At 46.9% G+C, this 25,302-nt stretch overlaps 1 protein-coding gene across 36 annotated transcripts in view; it reads left to right on the top strand.

Annotated features, from left to right (window-relative positions):
* Nucleotides 1-25,302, top strand: part of APBA2 (amyloid beta precursor protein binding family A member 2) — a 232,342-nt gene that overhangs the window by 147,795 nt on the left and 59,245 nt on the right. For all 36 annotated transcript variants that reach the window (NM_001379685.1, NM_001353790.2, XM_047432424.1 and 33 more), the window contains one exon: nt 20,077-21,067. In NM_001379685.1, the coding sequence (NP_001366614.1) occupies nt 20,117-21,067 (951 nt within the window). In that variant the 5' untranslated portion in view covers nt 20,077-20,116. The remainder of the gene's footprint in view (nt 1-20,076; nt 21,068-25,302) is intronic.

Below are 25,302 nucleotides of genomic sequence, written 5' to 3' on the forward strand. Positions count from 1 at the left end.
GCTAATAACGGTGAAACCCCGTCTCTACTAAAAATATTTTTAAAAAATTAGCCGAGCGTGGTGGCGGGCGCCTGTAGTCCCAGCTACTCGGGAAGCTGAGGCAGGAGAATGGCGTTAACCCAGGAGGTGGAGCTTGCAGTGAGCTGAGATGGCACCACTGCACTCCAGCCTGGGCGACAGAGTGAGACTCCATCTCAAAAAAAAAAAAAAAAAAAAAAAAAGAAGAAGGGACACCTAGGGTGAAGTCTGGGAGGCTTCCAGATGCAAAGCTTTGGCGTCCTCAGAGATGCATTATCCTCCCAGCATCCAAGTGTGACAGTAATCAAAGAGTATTGCCAAAAAAGGAACCTCACCTGAGCTTCAATGTCTAGAGTTTTTATTTGGGATTCTTTATGTAGGTATGATGCATGATGAATTGAATCAGTGAATTGATTAAATTGTTGGCCATGTGGTTGAGCTCAATATCTAGCCTTCCCAGAAGTCAGGCTGGTAGCCCGTGTCTCCTGTCTCAAAGCCCCAACCCTCTAGTAGCTAGTTGGCCTCTCTGGCATCACCAACCTCCATCCTGAGTCATCTCTTTTGCATAAACTTTGGAACGCACCACGAATAACAAGGACACTCCTATCACTTGGAGATTCCAAGGATGTAGAGGCTCCCTCCAAGGTACCAGAAGGCCAGCCAAGTTCTTTATTACACACCAACTGATTGCCATGACTTAGTGGTTAATAAAGAGTGGGGCTTGGGGTTCCTTTAGATTTCAGGCCTGACACAACCCCTTGGATATAGACTACATGAAATGAAAGTGTTAGGAAGGGTGTATGCATGCTATTTGTTTACTTTGAAGAGTGACACTTGGAACCAATGTCAGTTTTACAGGCTGCCCTGACTTGCTGGGGCACAGACTGTGAAGTGCATATTCAGAATGAATGAAGTGTTACCCTACAGCAGTGGCTCTCAGACTTGCAGGCATCAGAATCCCCTGGAGATCTTTTAACATGCAGACTTCAGGGTCCTGCCCCTGAGTTTTCATTGGTCTGGGGGAGGGCCCAAGAGTTTCTGTGTTTGTGGAGTTCCCAGGTGACACTGATGCTGCTGGCCCAGGGACCACACTTCAAGAAGCCCTGGAATAGACTCTGTGGTGGGTGTTTGAACTTTGGATTCTTGGCCATAGGTTTTTACATTACAATGACAGAATGGGAAGTTTGGCAGGAATAAAGATGACTTCCACCCACAGGCTCCCGGGGAGGTCCTTCTTCCCTGGGCCCTGGCCTGGTGTCTCTGTCTAGCAGCTAGCTAGCATTCAGGTCCCAGGTCTCACATTTTGGCTGGACTTTAATGGCAATTGATGGGCAAGTGCAGGCTGTTCTTGCAGGGGAGGGAGTGCTGCCTCTGCTTGGGCTGCTAGGCTTGGGGCCTGGTCACCTGGGGCCACTGCCCTTCCTTCAGTCTTGCCAGACAGGCAGAGGAGTAAGGGCTTGCTACCGGGGCAGAGAACATCGAATGATTGCAATCGTGGGGTCATTAGGATTAATTAGTAAATAGCCATCAGATCTTAAAAAATAGATTCAGGAACAGCCTGGGAGGGCATTTGGGTGTGGTTTCCCAGTTTGAGGGGAAAGCATGAATCGACTACTATCTCAGGTAGGGCTCTGGTGCTGGGACCCTGCTCAGGCCAGTTAAGTGACAGTGGATGTGGCCTGGAAATCCTGTTTCTCTCATGTTCAGTGAGGGTGGAATTAGGGGTGTGTGTGGGGACCTTGGGGGCGCCATGTGATGATTAACTGTAGTCTGTCTCAGTTGTGGAAGCTGCTAATGTGTTTTTCTGGGACATCATCATGGGATTTTTATTATTGATTTCAGCAGGGAGACTGCTGGCTCATTATGTGACAAGAAATCGATGTGGTGTTCCACGTTCGAAGCAGGGGTTCTCCGTGACGTGCGGGCCCTGGACCAGCAGCCTCAGCATCCCCTGGGCATGTGTGAGCAGTGCACACTCCCAGCCTCCCCCTGACCTGCTGAGCCAGAAGCTCTAGGGCTGGGAGCCAGAAGCCCCGCAGGTGGCTCTGCTGCATGGGAAGGAACTGTTGGGATGCAAAGCAGGCCAGAGAGGACAGGAGCAGACAAAGATCTGAAGCTGAATATGGACCCCTCAGGGTGCCAGCTGTCACCCCGGAGCGCCCCCCTACCTGGGGAAGCTTTGGCAACCTTCCTGGTTGCAAGCCAAGGCCCAGGGACTCCACCGCTGGTGACCCCCTTACCTGGCCCTGGCTGTGCCCTTTGGCTCAGGGCTGGGCCCGGGAGGCTGGAGAGGTGCCAGGGTTCATTGCCAGAGGCTGCCTTGCCCCTCCCTTGTGTCCTTGTAGGCAGAGCCCTCACCCCCCTATGCTTTCCCGCCACCCACCAGCCACACCTCCTTGCCCAGGCCTCAGTGCCTGACAGATGGCCTGAATACATATATATATATTTTTTGTCTTAAAAAACTATTTTTTTTAACATATCTACAGACTCTCCCCTTACCAGGTATTTCTTGGGGAAGAAAATGTTGCTTAGTAGACAAATGTCCCCAGGTCTCCTTCAGGGAGGATGAGCATCACCTGCATTGAGGAAGGGGTGCTTCAGCAGAGATGCTCACTTCAAAGCGAGCCTCACTAGTAGCCACAGGGTGCACAGCTAGGATGGGAGGCAGTGCTGCTGAGCCAAGGGGTGGTGGGAGCAGCTCTGGAGAAACCTGGTCGGGTGGTGGGTGAAGCTGCCTCCACCCCAGCAAGCGATATGGGGCCTCCCCACTGGACTGGGGAACTGTGTATGAGGGTTTGGGGTGCAGAGACCTCAGGTGGCCTTCAAAGGAGGGGTGGCCAGAGGCCCAGCAGGTGACTCCCACACCTCTTTTACATCATCTCCTGCTGAACACCCCAGAGTTCCCTGCTTCTTACAGTGGTAACATTTGTTTAGGAGTTGTGCAGTAAGTAGACCAGGCATGGTGGTTCATGCCTGAAATCCCAACATTTTGGGAGGCTGAGGCAGGCAGATTGCTTGAGTCCAAGACTTTGAGACCAGCCCGGGCAACATGGTGAGACCCTGTTTCTATAAAAAATACAAAAATTAGCCAGGCAAGGTGGTGTGTACCTGTCATCTCAGCTATTTTGGAGGCTAAGGTAGGAGGATTGCTTGAACCTGGGAGGTGGAGGTTGCAGTGAGCTGAGATCACACCAGTCCACTCCAGCCTGGATAACAGAGAGAGACCCTGTCTCCAAAAAAAAAAAGAGAAAGTTTTGCATAAATAAAGTTAAATTATTTAAAATAAAATTATTTAAAATAAAAGTTAAATTGTTTAAAATAAGCTAGGAGAAACTTGCTACTTAAAGACATCTTTTGGGAGAATTTTTATTCAGAAGATAATCATTTATCAAAGTGATTGAGTAACCTGTAATTTATCCAGTGGAGTTTAATTTAAGCATTTGAATTTCATGTTTACCCTTTTAGCAGCTATCATTGAACCCGTCTTGGTAGCTCCAAAGCACACTTAAATATGAGATGCAGCCCCTGCCTCCATTGGCTTATGGACTGGGTGGGTGTGTAGCCACCGTGTACAGAAAGTTAAAGATGGTTCTAGGGACCAGGCAAACAGCCTGGGGTGAGTTACCAGAAGGATGATGTGAATCATCGTGTGAGATTACAGGTTGCCCATCACCATGGCCAGTGCCTCTGAGGGTTTGTTGGGATTAGAGGGGCAGCTTCCAGGCCTTTCAGGAGAGGAGGGTCTTTACATGTCTTTTGTGGGTGAGGACCTGAGGCAAGCAGAGAGAGACAGCCAGAGTTACGTGGGGCTGGAAGAAATCAGGCCAGAGTGACTGGGACCCTTGACTCTCCTTGTTAGAGGGTGTGTTTGTCCATTTTGTCCTCTTATAACGTAGTACCACAGACTGGGTAATTTATAAAGAAAAGAAGTTTATTGGCTCAAAGTTCTGGAGGTTGGGAAGTCCAAGAGCATGGTGCCAGCATCTGGTGAGGGCCTTTGTGCTGCCTCATAACATGGTGGAAGGCATCACATGGCAAAGAGACAGAGAGACAAGATAGGGGCTAAACTTAACCTCTTATGAGGAGCCCTCTCCCTGGGTAATGGCATTAATCCATTCCTGACGGCAGAGTCCTCATGGCCTAATCACCTCTTCAGCATACTGTCTCTTAATACTGTTATAATGGCAATCAAATTTCCACATGAGTATTGGCAGGGACTTCTGAACCATAGCAGAGGGACTGCCTTCCCCATGGATCCTGGTGTCCTGCACCCTGGGCCCAGTCCACTCTCTGGCTGGCACCTCTGGTTTTGCCCCCCAGGACTCTGTAAGCTCTAGCCAAGGCAGCTGGTGCTGTGCTTGCCAGCTCTGTGCTTTGACAACAACTTCTGCCTTCCCCACACTGTCTGAACTCCAGGGTCTCCTCTTCGTTTTGGTGTTGGGGGACTCTGGCTCACCACAGAGCTCCTCTCCAGGCACGTCCCTCCACAGCACCTGGGAAATCCCCTTTTCTGGCTCCAAGTGACCTATCTTCCGAGGGCTACTTGGGAATTCACAGAACCTCAGCTATGGAGAAGCTCAGAGGATTGGGGGATTGAAACCGTAGGTCATCCTTGAATGGTTAGCTTTTGAAAATAATTGTGCATTTTTCCGTGGTATGGGTTGGTTTCCTGTCCTGTCTCCACAGTGCTGAACCAAATCAGCAACGCTGCACTTTGCAACTCTGACAGTTGAGCTTCCTGGTCCTGCGATTAGAGCCCTCAAGATAGTACTGAAGCATTAGGTGAACGGTGGGGACAGAAGCCCAGACTCTGTCTGGAGTAGGGGCCCTGGAGGGACACACACCCACTTCCTATTTGGCTCTGTCCTATATGCAGGCATTTTTTTTTTTTTTTTTTTTTTTTCTGAGACGAAGTCTCACTCTGTTGCCCAAGCTGGAGTGCAGTGAGGCCATCTTGGCTCGCTGCAACCTCCACCTCCTGGGTTCAAATGATTCTCTTGCCTCAGCCTCCCGAGTAGCTGGGATTACAGGTGTGCGCCACCACACCTGGCTGATTTTTGTATGTTTAGTAGAGACAGGATTTCACTATGTTGGCCAGGCTGGTCTCAAACTCCTGACCTCATGATCTGCCCGCCTTGGCCTCCCAAAGTGCTGGGATTACAGGTGTGAGCCACTACGCCTGGCGCATGCATTTTTTAGAAGGACCTTGAGATGATTTACTATTGTTGATCAAGGAAGAAGATGAAGCGGGGAGATATGCTGCCTTGAAAGTGTCCTTTGAGCATGCAGCCTTATTTCAGCTGTATGTCAGGGTGTGTGTGTGTGTGTGTGTGTGTGTGTGTGTGTGTGTGTGTGTGTGTGTGTGTGTGTATCAGGGTTGCTGCTGAGGAGTTGCATTGCTTCCCTAAGGCCCACCAGGGAGATTCCTGTGAGGGGGTCAGACAGGGCCTTTGAAGTTTTATGTGTTATTAAAGAAGGTCGTATCTTATTACCACAAAGACCTGGGATATCTGCAGCAGGGAGTGGTAGAGGAGAGGCTGTCAGGCCAGCCCTTAACAGCGTAACTCTCTCATTCCTTCCTCAGTTCCTCCTTATCCTCCTGGCATCCAGCTCCCCATCAGAAACTGTGAATCCTAAGATATGATGGGACCATGGACCCTTCACATTTTTGTCATATTCATTATAGTGGTTCTCAGCCTTGGCTGCATGTCAGCCACCCAGAGTGTCCAAATTCTCCTCACCCAGAAATTCTGACCTCATGGAGCTGGGGCAGGATCCAGGAATTGATATTTTTTAAACCTCCTCAGGTTGATTCTAGCATCCAACCGGGGTTTAGGCCCGAGGACCACAGCCTGCCAGTTTTCGTGTGGCGTGACCTTTCCTGCCGATGATAATGCTGATGATGTCAAGCCTAGCTGAACGCTGATGGGCAGTGTCTGATTAATCGAATGAAGTAAAAATAAACAGGTTTTAACTTAATGTACCTCCCCAAATCTGTAAAGAGATCCATGGATGACATCAGTGCTGTCCAGGATGGAGTAAGCCCACTATCGTCCATTCCACTCACGGATTAGAACTCAAAACTCTGAACAGAATGAAAAGCAACCCCATCGGGAAGGGGGTTGGAGCTTGAATGCGCAGCACATTAGAATAGAGTTTCTGTGGTTGGGTTTTTTTCCCTCCTTTGATCTGAGTGCTGACTGATTTGGGAAATAGCACAGTGGGCAGAGGCAGCAAAACTCTGTGAGAAACCCATCTTTGTGGCCAGAGGGTTGAAAAGAGGAACGCTGCAAGCTGAAGATTAGGAGGGATCACTGTTTTGTTTTGTCTTTTCCTCTCTCCTGGCCCTGCCAGACCCAGAGCAGTAGCACCTACTACCCTGAGAGAAAATCCAACTCTCTGGTTGGAGGAACCGGTTGTTGCATAAAGGTGGTGGGAAGAATCCCCATTTTTTTCTCTTTCTCATTCTGCTTTGCCCTCAGCAGGGGCTGCAGTTGCAAGAAACTGTGAAAGAGTGTGATGTGTTAGGCTAAAACTCTGGGAGAGCCCCAACTTTATGGGCAGAGGAACCAGGAAAAGGTGCATCTGGTAGTAGCGGAATATGGAAGAAATCTTGGAGAGGGGAAATCTGGAAAAGAGGGTTTATTTATGTTTCTGAACCAACTCCATGTATGGGATATACCCAGAGAACCATAGCAAAGGCTTTGGATTTAAGCTGCAATAGAAACCGTGGCCCGGGTCCCAGACTTAATCCCTGAATAGCTCGTGCTTGAAGCCAACTCACAGAGCACAGCAAAGGGTTTTGAAACCGCACTGACGTTAACTCCATCCCCTAACGAAGGGGAACCAGAGCTTGTGTTCTCAACCTGAGTGGATTTATCGTCTGATGAAGCAGACACATGAAAATCAACATTCTCTACATTCTCAACATTCTCTCTCATTCAACATTTTTAATCAGGGTTAAAATGTACATATTAAAGCGATCTGGGATGCAATCTACAATTATTTGGGATACAAAGAAGCAAAAAAATCTGACTAATTCTTCAGTCAATCAATTAAAAATATTTTTTAAATGACCCAGTTCTCAAGGGAAAAGGCAATTAACAAATGTCAACCCTGAGATGACATAGATGTTGAAATTATCAAAGACTTTAAAGTGACTGTTATAACCATGTTCCATGAGGTAAAAGATGGACAGTTCTGAAATTAACAGAAACATAGAAATTCGCAGCAGGGCAATATGAAAAAAAAAAGAAAAAAATAGGAATTTTAGAATGAAGTAAAAATATTACTGGATGAGTTCAAAAGCAAATGTATATGACAGAAGAAAGAATCTAAGTTAGCTCTAAGTAGATCAATAGAAATTATCCTGAATAAAAGAAAAATGAGTTTAAGAAATGAGTAGGCCAGGTGTGATGGCTCATGCCTGTAGTCTCAGCACTTTGGGAGGCCAAGGTGGGAGGATCATTGAGCCAGGAGTTTAAGATCGGCATGGGCAATATGGTAAGACCTCTTCTCTACTAAATAAATAAGTAAATAAATAAAATTTTGCTGAGCCTGGTGGCACACACCTGTAGTGCCATCTACTCAGAAGGCTGAGGCAGGAGGATCACTTGATCCCCAGAGGTTGAGGCTGCAGTGAGCCATATTTGTGCCACTTTACTCCAGCCTGGGTGACAGAGCAAGACCCTGTCTCAGAAAAAAAAAAAAAAAAGCAATTATTAAAAAAAGGTATCATTTACAATAGCATCCCCCCAAAAAAGAAAGAACTACATATAAATAAGAAAATATACAAGATCCGTATGCTGGAGACTAAAGAATACTGATGAGAGAAATCAAAGACCCAACTCATGGAAAGATATATTTATATTTTGGAAGATTCAGTATAGTTGTGAATTCTCCCCAAATCGACCTATAGATTCATTGCAATCCCAATCAAATTTCCAGCAGGATTTAAAAAACTAGATATTGATAATGGGATTCTAAAATTTATATAGAAAAATAAGGGATCAATAGTGGAAACAATGGTTAGATCCCTGGTGAAAAAATATTCCTGATTACATGCGGGAGAATTTCCCAGAAGATGAAAAACAAGGGAACTCTGAACTTTGAATAAAGGGCACATGATCCTTATGGACTTTCTTAGTTCTCTAGGGCTGCTGTAAGAAGTCCACAGACTGGGTGGCATAAACAACAGAAGCTTACTGTCTCAGTTCTGGAGGCTGGAAGTCCCAGATTGAGGTGTCCTCAGGACTGGTGCCTCATGAGGGCTGTGAGGGAAAGTCTGTCCCATGCGTCTCCGTTTGCTTGTGGTGGTTTGCTGGCGATCTTTGATGTTCCCTAGTTTAGAGCCCTGCCTTCATCCTGTTTGTGTGACTGTCTCCACAATTCCCCTCTTTAGAGGACACCAGTCCTATTGGGTTAGGGCCTACGCAAATTACTGTATGTCAACTAATTATATCTGCAGTAATCCCCTTCCTCTCTCTCTCTCGCTGTCTCTTCTTTTCTTTCTTTCCTCACTGTGTTGCCAGGCTGGAGTGCAGTGGCCCGATCTCAGCTCACTGCAACCTCTGCCTCCCGAGTTTAAGAGAGTCTCCTGCCTCAGCCTCCTGAGTAGCTGGGACTACAAGTGCATGCCACCACGTGTATTTTTAGTAGAGACAGGGTTTCACTGTGTTAGCCAGGATGGTCTCAGTCTCCTGACCTTGTGATCCGCCCGCCTCGGCCTCCCAAAGTGCTGGGATTACAGGAGTGAGCCACCACACCCAGCTGCAGTGATCCTATTTCTAAACAAAGTATATTCTGAGGTACAGGGGATGAGAACTTAAACATATGAATTTTGAGGGGACATAATTCAGCCATAACACGGATGTGGCTTATTTTAAATCTACACAGTACTGTATGCACTTGGAAATGACTAGAAAAATGTGAAAATCACAGGGCAACAAGCAGAAGCAGACTTTTCCCCCTCGAGTCTTGTGGCCGCTTCTCTGGGGGTGACAGATTTCTTTGTCTCTGAGGATGGATCTGGTAGAGGGTGTATTTAGCAGTGTACTTCTTTGCACGGGGTCCTGGCAGCTGCAGAAGCTGCGCCCCTTTCTCCAGCATGTTAAGAAAAAGGTCAGTGCTGGTAACGTTCTGTGTTCAGTTGCCCTCTTATCTGGACCCTCGCTTTTCCCCTAAAGGCATCCAGGAGCAAACATGACATGCAGAGGTAGACTTTGCCAAGGCACCGCTATTTCCAGAAGTTCTTGTGGGAGAGAGTTGACTTCTTACTGTTAGACGTAACCCAGGAAGAACAGCAAATACCGGCCAGGCCAGAAGTGCACACAGTTACTCTGTTCCTGTTACGGCATTAATGCTGCTTTCAGGCGTGGACTACATTGTGAGATATTGAAAATGCCATTTCCTGGAGACTAGTATTGATGATGAAGGTCTGACAGCAATTTTAATGATGTTTAAAGGGCAGATCATCGCCCTTTGCGTATTTCGAGATGAGGATGCAGTGGGGCAGATGTCTCAGCATATTGAATGCCCAGAAGGAAGAAGTTAGGCCCAACATTAACCCCAAGCCTCTTCCAAGGGCTGCTGAGACTTAACACCCTTCCCACCGCAGAAATGTCACCTGACAGGTATGGCTGCCCAAGGCTTCCTGGGCTTTTTTATGCTTGTCTTTTTTATGTTATTTGTCTGTAGAAGTACTATAGCCAGGAATGACTAGAGGAAGGAAATAGGTACCATTGTCCCATCACTCGAAGGCAGCCCTTGCTAACGTCTTAATGCATTTCTTCACAGTTGATTCTGTGTTTATTTGTTGTGAATAAATCATAACAATACATATTACATGCTAAGCCTTTTGTAAATATTTCAGATGCCACAAAATTGTCTTGTGGAAGTGCTAACACTGATTTATCTAGGATCCTGTTATTGAAGGTTTAGTGTGTGCTCAATATTTTTGTCCATTTCACTGCCGTTTTCCAAAGAGAACACATCCCTTTGTGACCCTAAGCTAGGTTAGAGAGCCTTGCTTGACAGTGTTGGATATCAGTATTGTTTTTGGAAGATTAATTTATTAGTGTCCTTTCAGAGCTTGCGGTTGCCTGTGATCTTGAAGTGAAATACTTATTCGGTGACTTTTGTCTGGAATGCTTGGGCTGATTATACAAGCATTCTCCAGGACTGTTCAAACCCACATCATGTATAGTGTATAGTGAAAGCAACTAAATTATATTTGAAAGGAACAAAATAATATTATCTTTACAACATGTGAGACCAAATGGGGGACAAGATTGGTGTCAGGAACAATTTGGCTGAGTCTGTTTCTCATTTGTATGATACGTTTTCACCCAGCCTGTATTGTGGTCACTGAATAGCTATTTTTCATCTGGTCTGCTATATTACTAGCTCTTCTAAGCACCAGCTAATGCTATTTTCCCGTGCAAAAGAAAAACATGGTTTAGAATAAGGACACTGGAGCTCTTTATTGTTGACAATGAGCCTTTATTTCTCACATCTAATTAGAATGTTTCAGGAGGCGAGTGGTGAGCACGGTGTCGGGGGCCGCATTAGCTATTGATTTATGTGCTGTTATAGAATTAATTGAGTCTGGACATGGAGACTCATTTTCTTGGACATGTAGCAGGTAATCATGCTTCTCCTGTACATTTGAATTGCTTTCCAGATGGTGTGTTGTACAGGATTTATCTTTAATATGATTGACTAGAAGCAAAGGACCTGAGTGTGTTTGCATACATGCTCTGCAATGCAAAGCCCCCAGCCCCCACTGTAGAGATGGTTAACTCTCTCCTGGCCACACCCCCCCTGGGCTCATATGGGGACCTGGGCCTTGGATTGACACTGTATGCAGCAAAGACAGCGTCAAAGGGTCCTGGATAAAGGCTCTGGGAGGGGAGAAAAGGCCTATAGTATATTCTGAGGGAAACAGAATAAACAGCATTACTTATTATGCAAAACCAGGACATAATGTGGGTTCAGCAGGGGAATAGTTAGTGTCTTAGTCAGCTCAGGCTGCTATATCAAAAAACACCATAGACTTGGTGGCTCCAACAGCAGACATTTATTTCTCACAGCTCTGGAGGCTGGGAAGTCTGTGATCAAGGTATGGGCAGATTCAGTGTCTGCTGAGGTCTGTCTGCTTTCTGGTTCATAGGTGGCCATCTTCTTTCTGTGTCCACACATGGTGAAAGGGGCAAGGCAGCTCTCTGGGGTCTTTTTCTTCTTTCTTTTTTCCTTCCTTCCTTCCTCTCTCCCTCCCTCCCTCCTTCTCTCTCTCTCTCTCTCTCTCTCTCTCTCTCTCGTCTCGCACTGTCACCTGGGCTGGAGTGCAATGGCGTGATCTCGGCTCACTGCAACCTCCGCCTCCCAGGTTCGAGTGATTCTCTTTGCCTCAGCCTCCCAAGTAGCTGGGATTACAGGTGCACGCCACCATGCCTGGCTAATTTTTTTTTTTTTTTTTTGTATTTTTAGTAGAGATGGGATTTCACAATGTTGGCCAGGCTGGTCTCAAACTCAAGACCATGTGATCTGCCAGCCTCGGCCTCCCAAAGTGTTGGGATTACAGGCATGAGCCACCACGCCCGGCCTGGGGTCTCTTTCATAAGGGCACAGTCCCACTCATGAGCTCCACCCTCATGACCTCATCACTCCCCAAAGACCCCACCTCCTAATGCCATCACACTGGGGGTCAGGATTTCTACATGTGAATTTTGGGGGCGATGCAAACATTCAGTCTGTAGTGGTCAGATGATATCTATTCAGCTGGGAAATAGGATGTAGCCATTAAAATGATACCTATGGAGAGCTTGTGTTGCTTACCGCATGTTAAAAGAGAACAACATGGATTTGTGTTTACAGTAAGGTCTCGGCTATGCAAAAGAGATGCACAGATAAAAGACTGGAAAGAAAGAAACCACCAAACAAACACTGGCTTTCTATGGGTGGAACAACTGTGAGTGGGCATCCATTCCTCTCTATATTTCCTATTAAGAACACAGAGCAAAACAGATTGTAGTCCTTGTTGCTGGGAAGTAATGTGCCCTCAGAAACAGTCACCCTCTGAGTACAGAAGTCTGCCCACATCAGTTTCACAAATGATGTGCTAGATGATTAGTCATATCTCCGGCTCTCTCCTGCCCTCCTACAGGGCAGCTGTCCCCATATAACAGTTGTATCCCTAGAAGGAGTATGCAGTTAAAGTAATTGGAGATTCTTTGACCAGACGTTTTGAGAGTCTGGCAGCCCGGAAAGGTGGGATTTGGCAGCTATGTGGGACCTTCCTTCAGGCACTAAAGGGCTTCCTGAAAAAGTTGCTTACACATTGAGGTGTGTTAAATGGAATTCTTTATCATAAGGCTGCAAACTGCTTCTGTGCAAAAGGCAATGTGTTAGTTCCTTGCAGGAATATGCTTTTAGTGAACTCAATGAGATACCAGAAATCCAGTAGGAGAACACTTTCTTTGAAAGAACCACTTGTTTCTACCTACGTTTTTGCCCACCTTTCCTTCTCACCTCCCCTTGGCCACACCCCACTTTTGTGTCTTGGGAATTATCTGCTGTGCTCTGAATAGCCCCGTCCTGCCAGGCCACCCACCTTTGCCCTTGTTTGAAGAAGCTGGGGACAGTTGTCCTTGCTCTCCACCCCCTGGAGTAGGGGAAGAAGGCTTGGAATGTGGTGGGCCTAGGCTTCTTGGTGAGGGCCTTGTATTTGTTGACAAGGAGGTCAGATCCATTCCCTGGGCCGTCATCAGAGACCTGCAAGCATCTACTTAGGGCAGAGTTTTCAAGTGCAGTCTTTGGACCTCCAACATGAGAACCACCTGCAGCTCTAGACCTGGCCTTTGGCCCACAACCTTGGAATCTTGGGCCATGAACCTGCACACTCTCCAGGTGGGCCTTGTGCCCACCAAAGTGAGCGAATCACTGCATTGGAGGAGTGACTCTTGGCTTTTCACAAGGACCTCTCCCTGCTTTCCTCAGTCCCTCCAAGATGCACCCATATCCCACTGCAGGGATGCAATTTGCATACATAGCCAGGGACAGTGTCATCTGGCCACAGCCACTCCCAGCCACCTGTGTCAGCAGAGTTCCCCGTTCCCATCTAAGACATTCACCTCATCAGGCATCTCTCCTGGACCATTTCATTGACATTTTCCTTAACTCCCTTTATGTAGTGTTTATGGAGTTCAGGCCTGCACTGGTTGCTCTCTTCTTTAACTCGCTTCAAGCCCTGCAGGCACATACTGTCATTTTCAGTTTCCTAAGGAGGGGAAGGCCATCTCTCCATTAAATATCTTGCCCCAGGCCTCACAGTAAACAGAGGTCTGAATTGAAACAAGGACCTTCAGTCTTCATCTTTAACAGGCGGGCTCTTTGTCTTATACCAAAAGTGCCCCAGTAGGTTCCGTGTAATTCTGTGGAGTCTTTGAAGACGTGGCTGCCTTCTGGGTAGCTGCTGTGGGTCCCTTACCCTTTGCACTCATGGGAAAGAGAGCTGGATCAGAATGTCTGTGGTGTCAAACTCAGGAAAAGAGCTGCCATTAGCCAGCGCTAGCATTGTAGTCATGGTGAAAAACGGGATCATTACCAGTCCACAGCCAAGCCATATTGCAGCCTGAGGCAACAGGAAAAATCAGGAATACCAATCCTATCTTCATTTACAATTTTGATATTTTGTTCATCATGGATTTATTTTGCCTTAGTTTTGATTTCTAAAGCATTGCATTAAAATATTATTTATTTTTGATTGCTTAGGTTTTTGGGGCCTCCCTGATCTCCCCCTGGTTCAGCCATCGTAAAGTGAAAGCATTTTCATTGCAATGAGGAATAAGTCAAGGGTGCCTGTTAGTGCCATTGTTAACTCCTCAGGGAAGTGCAGGGCAGGGTAGTTAGACAAGATGACCACATGCCGGAAAGGGGAAGCAAAATGGTGACTTCTGAAAGTGACATCATTTACCTAGAAAAACATTATCAACTAAAAACTATTAGGATTTAAAAATAGCTTAGTAAAATCTATTTTTACAAAATCAATATCATTTTTTTTCTGTATGCCAACAATAACCAGGTAAATATATAAGGAAGAGATCTATTCGCAACAGCCACAGAAATATTATATTTAAGAAAAAACTTAATATGAGATGTCTACAGCTATAAAGAAAATTACAAAGCCGTTGAGAGACATTTAAGACTTCAATAAATAGGAAGATTTTTTTGGGTGAAATTGGGTAAAAAGACTCAGTATTGTAAGTATGAATAATTTCTGAGGCCGGGGCACGGTGGCTCACTCTTGTAATCCCAGCACTTTGGGAAACCGAGGTGGCTGATCACTTGAGGCAGGAGTTGGACACCAACCCGGCCAACATGGCAAAACTTCATCTCTACAAAAAATACAAAAATTAGCCGGAGGGTGATGACACATGCCTGTAATCCCAGCCACTCAGGAGGCTGAGGCACAAGAATCACTTTAACCCAGGAGGCAGAGACTGCCGTGAGCTGGGATCGTGCTACTGCACTTTAGCCTGGGCGACAGAGCGAGACCTTGTCTCAAAAGAAAAAAAAATTCCCTAAAGTAATTTATAACTTAAAGTTACTCCAGCCAAAATTTCAGTGGAATATTGGGGATACTTGGAACCACTAACTCTTAAGTTCTTTTGGGAGAATAAATGTGAAAATAGCAGGGGAAGATGACAAAATGAGAATAATGAGAGAGAACTTGCCTTATGTCGTATTAAAATATGCTCTAAATTCATAATAATGAAAATGGCATGGTACTGTTGCTGGGCAGATAGAAATGATGTAGACTAGAAAGTCCAGGGACAGATCTAAGTTTATGTAAGAATTTAGTGTATGATGGCTGGGCGGGGTGGCTCACACCTGTAATCCCAGCACTTTGGGAGGCTGAGGCAGGTGAATCATGAGGTCAAGAGATCGAGACCATCCTGGCCAACATGGTGAAACCACATCTCTACTAAAAAAAAAATACAAAAATTAGCTGGGCGTGGTGGTGCGCACCTACCTGTAGTCCTAGCTACTCGGGAGGCTGAGGCAGGAGAATCACTTGAACCTGGGAGGTGGAGGTTTCAGTGAGCCGAGATCACACCACTGCACTCCGGCCTGGCAACAGAGCAAGACTCAGTCTCAAAAAAAAAAAAAAAGAATTTAGTGTATGACACGCAGGGTGACCAGCCATCCCAGTTCCTGTGGAACTGAGGGTTTCCTGGGACATGAGACTTTGAGTGTTAAAGTTGAGATGGTTGGTCACTGTAAAACATGAGAAACAGAATAGTCTATTTAGTAAAGGGTATTGGGTTACCTGAGTAAAGCTGTGGTGCCCACACTTTGCTGTATATTGGAATCACCTGGGAAACTTTTATGAATACTGATGCCTAGTTCCTATCTGAGACATTCTAGGTTCATTGGTATGTGGTGTGACCTGGGCATCAGGGTTTTCAATGGGTAACAAAACTTGAAAATCACTGGGGTAACCATCGTGGAGAACATGAAGCTGCTCCCTACCTTGTGTGTTTACACTTTCTGATGGGTTAAATATTTCAGTGTCAAAAATAAAGGATTCTAGACAGTGACTGGATTTGCTTGCTCCAAGGGAAGAGGTTTGACCCCTCCCATGAAAAGTCTGGAACTTCTGGAGCTAGGGACAGGTGCAGCACACAGACTCAGGGAGTTTCAGGGGAGCACCTTATTCCTGTGCCTCTAGGAAGGGTGGACATTTTCCCTGGAAGCAAGCAGATCTGGCTGAGGACAGCCTATCTCTGTCATACCTAAAAAATACAGGCACCTCTTCACATCTCAACAGTGAAGTCCCAGATGACCACCCTGACTGCCTCCAGCTCACCATAAAATCCTCTCCCACTGTATCTTACACTGCCCAGCCATCCACCAGTCGCTGAAAGACATGCACTGGTGTCTCAGGGGCCCTTTGTTGCCAGCAAGAGCAAAGACAGGTCACATGCTATATCTTGCTGAAAAGTGAGTTAGTGTTTTGGAAGGTCAAATGGAGGAACTAATTTATACCACACAGAAAAAAATGTGAAATGGGTGCTATGAGTGTAAAGTTCAGTGATTTGGAGGGCAAATTCCAGAGATATTCCAGAAAGAGAAAAAGGCCATTAGGGAGAGAAATAAAAAAGAAATAGCAAGAATCTTCCTGTAACTAAAGTAAGATGTGGGACTTGATTCGGAAAGGGCTCACCAAATGAATCTCACATAAAATTAATGAGACCCTCATAAAATTAAAAAAGACCCTTATCTAGACATAGTTTGCTGGAATTTCTGAACTCTAAGAGTGGAGAGGAAATTGTATCAGCTTCCAGACGGAAGGAATAGATTTTTGTACCAAGGTAAAAAGAATCTGAATAGTATTAAAATGCACATCTGCGAGACTGTAAGCTAGAAGATAGTGGAACAGTGTTAGCAAATTATTGTGAAAAGGATGCAATACAATAATCTTATACCTAGCAAAGGTATCATTCTATGTGAGATCAGAGCCATTTTATAGATACAAAAGAGTTACCTCCTAAGTAAACAAAATGACTCTAACAATTATTTTTACAAAATAAAAATGAAATCCCACTAAATAGTTCAAGAGAAAGAAATGCAAAAAGTATAGGAAGCAGTGGTAAGTTATGAATTGAGTAATTATAGTCCAAATTATATTGTTGTCGTAGTGTTATACATCTGGAATAAATTTTTCTGAAATCATCTGAAGGCTTGGAGAGCTAATAGGAAACACCAGTGGAAAATAAACTCCTGGTTCTATTGTAGTTCTCCTACAATGTCCTCAGTGTTTTCATTTTTGAAAACTTGAATAACATTTTAATAGGATCTGGACTGTTCCATGTTACTGTAATGTGTATTTTAGTCCTTATGTCCTATATTGGCCTAGAGAATATTTTATTTAGTGTTGGTATACATATTTATATGTGCATATTACAGATTTTATCCCCCCGAATGACAGAGATTTTGAAGTTAAGATAGCAAGAGTACTGTGTACTTTAGTTTGTTCTCTTAACAAGGATGTGCATACCTTCAACGTGCACAGCTTGATGTCAGAGCCTGGCGAGAAACAGGGATGCTGTAGAGATGGCACCGCTATGCAAGGAATGGGAGCTGTGTGCTCATGTGCCAGTGATGTACCATCTGCCCTTTGCCGTCCTGACGTCAAGACATGGACGTCTGGTTGCATGTTAGCAGCTGCATTCAGCACATGCTTCTGAGAGACCGTTTTGAGGAATGTAGTTACTGGAGATTGTGTCTGAGAGTTGTGGTTGCTAAGTCCCTGACATCACTCCTGCAGCCTCTCTCTTGTGGCTGGCTGTCCTCTGTGAAGATAAGAAATCTGGTGACAAGTTATATGTGGTCTTTGAGGCAGCTCAGTGTTCTTGATGTGTCCTCTGACACATCTGGGTTGCAGATGTCTTAGTGAGTGCTGGCCCCTTGTTCTCTTCTAGGGAACAGCTCTTTCGAATTGTCCTGCCAGTTTCAGGGTTTGCGAATGGGGTGACGGGCCCTGCAGGGTCCATCTCAGTGACAATTTTCCTGGTGTGGGACATCTTTGCTGTCTGTGGGCCACTCTAGGGGGAGTGCTGTGAATTGCTCCGCATACCAGTGATGCTCCTGAAACACGGCCATGGACAAGCCTGTGCAGGTGGCGGAGTAAACATTGCTTCTTTAGATGTCAAGTGTCCTTGGAGTGAATTCACACGTTGGAAGCATGTGGCTCCATCAGTAATTGTGCCCACACTCTGAGTGTCTGGACTGGATGAAATAATTATCTCCTTCTTCGTTCTTTTGGGAATATTCATACTGCTGTAACCGTGACCATCTGGTACACTCAGTCTCATAACAAGATGTGTTTTGGGCACCACTACAAACAAGGTGCTGTGTTTGGAGCTCTGGGGGGATACACAATATGGAAGGCCTTGAGTTTGTGGCCTAAACTAAAGAGACAAGAGGGGAAGAGGAGGTACAGGAAGGCAAGATGAGAGCCCGGGCAGTGACTGCTGAGGGTCACTGATAGCTCCTCTTTCATCTTCACTTCCTGCTCCCATCTGAGCCCAGATCCCTTTGCTTCTGCCACCTAAGGTCCTCACTGAGCCACTTCTCCACTGTCCTCTCTACTGTTTTAGTTTAAGCTCTCCTTTTTTTTCTTTTTAAAAATTGCAGTAAAATAGACATAAAAAATTTAGCATTTTAAGCATTTTCAAGTGTGCAAGCTCTTAACTGGACTACTGGAATATGTTTTTTTAAATAATTGAACTATCATGCAAGCAAAAAGGCATGTGTAATGTAAGAGTACAGTTTAAAGAATATGACAAACATTTGGGGAAGCAATTAGCTGAAGAAGTAGAACGTTGCTGGGCGTGGCGGCTCACCCCTGTAATCCCAGCACTTTTAGAGGCCGAGGTGGGCGGATCACGAGGTCAGGAGATCGTGACCATCCTAGCTAACACGGTGAAACCCCGTCTCTACTAAAAATACGAAAAATTAGCTCGGCATGGTGGGGGACACCTGTAGTCCCAGCTACTCGGGAGGCTGAGGCAGGAGAATGGTGTGAACCCAGGAGGTGGAACTTGCAGTGAGCTGAGATGGTGCCACTGCACTCCATCCTGGGCGACAGAGCGAGACTCCATCTCAAAAAAAAAAAAAAGAAGTAGAACGTTAAGCAAACTTTTGGACGTCCTCTGTGCCACTTTCCTGATGCTAGCCCCTTGCTTTCCCCCAGAAGAGAGAATAGCCTTTTCACTGGTCTCCCTGCCTCTAGCCTCTAGCCTCTGTCCCCACGCCAGGCCCAGAGAGACAGGGCTAAAAGAAAAAATGTTGAAAATGGCTCAGTGACTGTGCACATGTCTTAGTCTGTTTTCTGTTGCTATAACAGAATACCTAAGACTGGTTGATTATAAAGAATGGAGATTTGTTTCTCACAGTTCTGGAGGCTGGGAAGTCCAAGGTCAAGGTGCCAGCATCTGGTAAGGGCCTTCTTGCTATGTCATCCCAAGGCAGAGGTGAGAAGGTGAGGGAGAATGAGAAAGAGAGCAAGAGAGAGCCAAACTCACTTTTATAACAAACCCACTCTCACAATAAAGAACTTCCTCCCAAGATAAAGACATTAATCCATTCATGAGAGCACAGCCCTCATGACCTAATCACCTTTCAAAGGTCCCACCTCTCAACACTGTTGCATTAGGGATTAAGTCTCCAACGCATGAACTTTGGGGGACATATTAAGGCCATAGCCGTGTGGTTTGGGGGATAAAGTGCAGAGTCCTGGGCACTGGGTCCAGGCCCTCTCCCAGTTTGGCCTGCCAGGTCTCTGCAGCTGCCCTGTCACCCCACGATACCTGCAGGCTGCGGCTGCACCCTTTGTCCTCTTCTCCCCATGGCCGAGCAGTGCTGTCCCCTCTGCTGAGCCCTCCAGCCTGCCACGCTGGGGACTTGTGTAGAGCTTTTCTGCACATTGCTCAGCCTGGATGGTCCCTGCGCATCCAGTTCCTCGGTGAACATTGTTCAGTTTGAGGGGGAAGAGGAGGGAGAGGATGGGATAAGCCTGAAGGGGAAGGTACCCAAGATAGTCTTTGAGGGGTCATGGATTTAGATTGGGAAGAGTTATTGTCCCTCCTCATTGGTCCTCATTATGTCTTCTTAATGAAAGCTGCTCATTTTCTTCGTGAGAGCAAACAACCTGATCTTCTGACCATTTGTCTTGGTCACCTGGGCTACCCAAACTGAGTGAGAAGTCAGGAATGAGCCGGTAGGTTCCTGGGGAGAGGCGTGTGTCCTCGTGAGTTGCCGGTGCCTCCCTTGACTGCTTTTCCCGGAGCTCTGTGTGCCCTCGTTCTCCTTGGTGTGGATGCGTGTTGTTCTGATGATGAGTTAGCGGGGGTGGGGATGGCGCACTGTTTGAACAGATGTGCCCTCACATGGCTGCGGGAGGACGTGGTGGGAGGTGCTGTGGTGAAGTGGCCCCACACATGGCTGGGCTTTGTGGGGTTTTGACTCTGTCCTTCCCAATGTTCCTCCCCACAGTGGCTGCCTCCGGGTGATGATGGCTGTGTGAACGACTGCCATGGCCCACCGGAAGCTTGAGAGCGTGGGGAGCGGCATGTTGGACCATAGGGTGAGACCAGGTCCTGTCCCTCACAGCCAGGAGCCCGAGAGCGAGGACATGGAGCTGCCCTTGGAGGGCTATGTGCCCGAGGGCCTGGAGCTGGCTGCCCTGCGGCCAGAGAGCCCCGCGCCAGAGGAACAGGAGTGCCACAACCACAGCCCCGATGGGGACTCCAGCTCTGACTACGTGAACAACACCTCTGAGGAGGAGGACTATGACGAGGGCCTCCCTGAGGAGGAGGAGGGCATCACCTACTACATCCGCTACTGCCCTGAGGACGACAGCTACCTAGAGGGCATGGACTGCAACGGGGAGGAGTACCTGGCCCACAGTGCACACCCTGTGGACACTGATGAGTGCCAGGAGGCGGTGGAGGAGTGGACGGACTCGGCGGGCCCGCACCCCCACGGCCACGAGGCTGAAGGCAGCCAGGACTACCCAGACGGCCAACTGCCCATTCCGGAGGATGAGCCCTCCGTCCTTGAGGCCCATGACCAGGAAGAAGATGGTCACTACTGTGCCAGCAAAGAGGGCTACCAGGACTACTACCCCGAGGAGGCCAACGGGAACACCGGCGCCTCCCCCTACCGCCTGAGGCGTGGGGATGGGGACCTGGAGGACCAGGAGGAGGACATTGACCAGATCGTGGCAGAGATCAAGATGAGTCTGAGCATGACCAGCATCACCAGCGCCAGTGAGGCCAGCCCCGAGCATGGGCCTGAGCCAGGGCCTGAGGACTCTGTAGAGGCCTGCCCACCCATCAAGGCCAGCTGCAGCCCCAGCAGGCACGAGGCGAGGCCCAAGTCGCTGAACCTCCTTCCCGAGGCCAAGCACCCCGGAGACCCCCAGAGAGGCTTCAAGCCCAAGACCAGGACCCCAGAAGAGAGGCTGAAGTGGCCCCACGAGCAGGTAGGACCCTGGCTGTCCTGGGGAAGGGAGCAGAGGGGCCCGAGAGCAAGGGACCTCAGGGTACAGGCCTTGCAGATGCTGAAGCGAGGCGGTGGGGGGTGCTGGGTGCCTCACAGTTCTAATGGTGGCTGAGCTCTTCATTGGTCCAGTTGGGAGACATGTTGCGTGGATGCTCCGGCCACTCTTAAGCTCACCGCTCAGACTCAGGACTAAAGCCGGTTGAGGGCTGAGTGGCAACTCGTGTCTCGCAGAAGACACCCCTCCTCCCACCCTAGAAGAGAGGTTCGATTTCTTGCCCACTGCCCTGGTCTGCTCATGGTGGGGCAGTATGTGTGGGAGAGCCCCTCAATCCTCAGGGGTGTACTCAGACCAGCAGGGCAGTGGCAAAGACGTGGGGGTGCTGGTGCTCACCCACTGCTGCGGCCAGTGTTGGGTGGCCTGGTGGCTGGGGTCGGGGCCAGAGTGCATTTCACAATGGACGGGTCTCTGAAAGCCCGGGGGCCTTGGCCTGATGGGCAATCAGCTGTGAATACCTATTTGGAAAAGGATTTTTTGAAGGTTTGACAAAACCTCGGGGAAGAAACGCATGCTAATGAGGGCAGTGGATGTCAGCATAACTGTATTTTAATTATAGCAAAGTCAGCGTGCATTCTAATAAACACATTTGAAAAGCCACCTTCCAAAAAAAGCCTCACTGTGAGTATATAAAGAAGATGTGATTATTGGACTTGTGTGAAGGAACTTCTATTTGGCCAATTATGTGGACTTCTGTCATATTTTTTTACAGCCTTAACTGTTAAATATTTTTTTCCGAGAAGAGTTCATGAATTTGAGTGTGTGTGTGTGTGTGTGTGTGTGTGTGTGTGTGTGTGTGTGTACTGAGAGCTTGGGTTTGGAATGGAAATCATTGGATTTTCAGCACTTATATTTTAATTGACTCCTGGATTTTCAGCACTTGTATTTTAATGTCTTGTATTCTCTCTAAAGAACGTTAAGTGTCAGTTGACTTCACTTTGGGGGTGTTCCTGTCATTCACAGCAATTCCGTGTTTACAGGGGGCTGTGGGATGCATAGGAGCTCCCATGGTACTAGTGGGTGTTGGGAGAGTTCACCCCTAAGGCCAGGAGGCTCTGGACCCTGGGTCTGGGCTTTAGGCCAAAGCAAAGTGTTTCTTTGGTCTTTAGCAGGGCCTGGGCTTGTCCCACAACAGTGGTGAAGGCACCTCAGGGATTGACGTGGGCTGTGCAGAGCGTGTGACATGCTGCGTCTTATTGTGACAAATGGCATCGCTAGCCAAGTTCTTGTCAAAGAAGATTATCTTTAGAGCGTGGTGGGGAGTAAGCAAGACCTGATATTTTCTGGTTTTGTGCTTCATGCTAACCAGATGGTAATTTGGGTAAAAACACAGAGATCTTGCGATTGGAGAGCTGGGAGGTAAATGAGTGGGAATGAATGGATGGATGGGTGATAGTAGCTGTTTAAAAGGGCAGGTGGAGGTAGGGGAAGTCCCCAGCCATTGTGGAGGATCAAGAGGATGTCTGTTCTTCCCAGAAGAGGCATTGAATGAAAAAGTATGTCACTTCTCCCCCTAAGGAGAATGTGTCCTTGAAGGACATGCTCTTGTCTGAGACACTGGAAAAGTTCATTTAAACTGGTTAATGATTGTATAGCTTTTGTTTTGTTTTGTTTTTCCCTCCCTCCCTCCTTTCTGTCCTTTCCTCCTTTCCTCCCTTCCTCCCTTCCTCCCTCCCTCCCTCCCTCCCTCCCTCCCTCCCTCCTTCTCTCCCTCCCTCCCTCCCTCCTCTCTCTCTCTCTCTCTCTCTCTCTCTTTCTTTCTTTCTTTCCTATCAGTTCACAAATTAATTCTGTCAAGGGGAACACCTGCTAGTTCCAGAGTTCCAGGCTGACAAGTACCCTGGTGCCAGGGGCCCTGACTACTCTTTCTGAAGACTCTACCAGGCCCGCTGCACGTGGGCAGGGTCTCCACATTCTTAGATTTGAGTACCCCATTCCAGATGAGGACCTCTTTGAAACCTGACCAGAAAGAGCCGTAGAATTCATCTTGAAAGCAAGATTTTTTATGAAGGATGTGCACTGGGAGATTTGGTGCTGCCTTGCTTGAAATAACAACCTGCTTTCCTAAGAACAATCCCCTTCCTCCCCTGGGGGACAGCCAGGCCGTGCCAGGAGCCAACAAAGGCCTGGCCTCAAGCAGGTGCACAGGGTGCCATGTGTCCCATGCTCACCTCTCTGATCCCAGTGCTGTCCACATAGTGTAGTGATCCCTATGGTTGAGGCTGCAGTAAAAAAAAAATCTGAAGGGAGAAATGGGCAATATTGGTCACTTAGATGCTGTAGACTCCTGTTTTTAACCCTAACCCAGCAGCATTGGCATTACTGGGGAGCCCCGCCCCCACATTGCTGAATCTGAAATCTGCATTTCAACAAGATGCCACATTCCAGCTGTGATGCTGTAGGAGACTCACTTGGAGGAAATTGTGTAGCAACCCTCCCCTCTCTTCTACTCATTTTACAGCTTGAAAAAGTGTGTCCTGGATATTTTGAAGAGGACTGAATAGCATTTAGTCATTGCACGAATGGCAATAGTAAAATAGAGTTAGAAAAAATGGGAAGATGAAAAATGTATTCTCCATGGTCCCTACTACCCTAACGGATGAGCTATTTCATCAGTGTGCCTTTTCAGACCATAGCATTGAGCATAAATGATGTACGTAGCTGTCATCATAACCCAGATGTATTTTTGTCATACAGTTTTTAAAATCTGATGTATGATAAATGTTTCTCCATGTCACCATATAATTTTCATGATTATTTGTAGTGACCTTTCCATGATCCATTTGGGCGATGATGTGCTGTATAACATATTTCTCTGTACACACTCTACCATTGAGCATGCAGATTGTGAGTGGCATTTTCTCTTAGGTGTAAGGCTGCCACAGACATCTTTGTACAAACCATGTTTTCCTTCTTTGGTTTATTACCTGAGGATAAATCCCCATGCCGTACATCAACGTTGACCATTTCCCCTCGATGACCTTGCCTAATTGTTTCCCTTCTTCTGTGGATGTTGGATGCATGCCCTTTATCTTTTGGGGTTTGGATGCATTTCCATCTCATAGAAGCACTCTCTACACTGTAGGTGTGACTTCCTGTTGCGTATGTCCTCATCTTTAGTACATTTTCTTTTGAATTTTGGTTATATTATTTTCACCATCTCTGCAGCATTTTTAAGATGTTAATGACTCATCTGTGACCCCTCCACCTCCTTTCGGTACAGAGGGATTTAATTGGATGTTTCCTTCTTCCCTGTCTGGGTAGATGTATTCACAGAGGACATTGCTTTGGTCTGGTCGATACGAAAAATGAGTTGCCGGCTGGGTGCAGTGGCTCACACTTGTAATCCCAGCACTTTGGGAGGCCAAGGTGGGCAAATCACCTGAGGTCAGGAGTTCGAGACCAGCCTGACCAACATGGTGAAACCCTGTCTCTGCTAAAAATATAAAAATTAGATGGGCATGGTAGTGTGCACCAGTAATCCCAGCTACTCAGGAGGCTGAGGCAGGAGAATCGCTTGAGCCTGGGAGGCAGAAGCTGCAGTGAGCCGAGATAGCACCACTGCACTCCAACGTTGGCAACAAAGTGAGACTCCCACCTCCAAAAAAAAAAGAAAAGAAAAATGAGTTGTGCCTGTACTAAGAAGTAGGTTGTGTGGCCTTTGGAGCCCTCCTGAGCTGTAGGATGCCATGCATTTTGAAAAGGCTCCAGTTTGCAGGGAGCCCTCCCACCTGTGCCACTCTGCTGAGACCAAGAGGTCTGCCCGGGGGCTGGGATATGAGAGGCACAAAGGTGATAGAGTTTCTAAAATTGTAGGAAGACAGGTTGGGGAACAGAGATCTACACTTGAATTATTTTAGTAAAATAAAAAAAGGTTATTTCAAAGCACTGCAAGTTTACTGAGGAAAATTTGGAAAATACAGGCAAAAAAATCTTTTGCCATGTGGCATTGTAGAATTCCACTGTAGAGTTTTCAAATCAAAGAGACAAACCTAGGTCAGGATTTCCCAAAACACGCTCTTAGAGGTGTTGTGTAAACAAAGTACCATTTGATCCTTACTATTCATGGATTTGATATTTGCAACTTTGTTAACTTGCTAAAATTGATTTGTAACCCTGAAATCAATACTCGTAGCACTTTCCCAGTCATTTGTGGAGGT

The sequence above is a fragment of the Homo sapiens genome, chromosome 15 (assembly GCF_000001405.40).
Source record: "Homo sapiens chromosome 15, GRCh38.p14 Primary Assembly".
Lineage (NCBI taxonomy): Eukaryota > Metazoa > Chordata > Mammalia > Primates > Hominidae > Homo > Homo sapiens.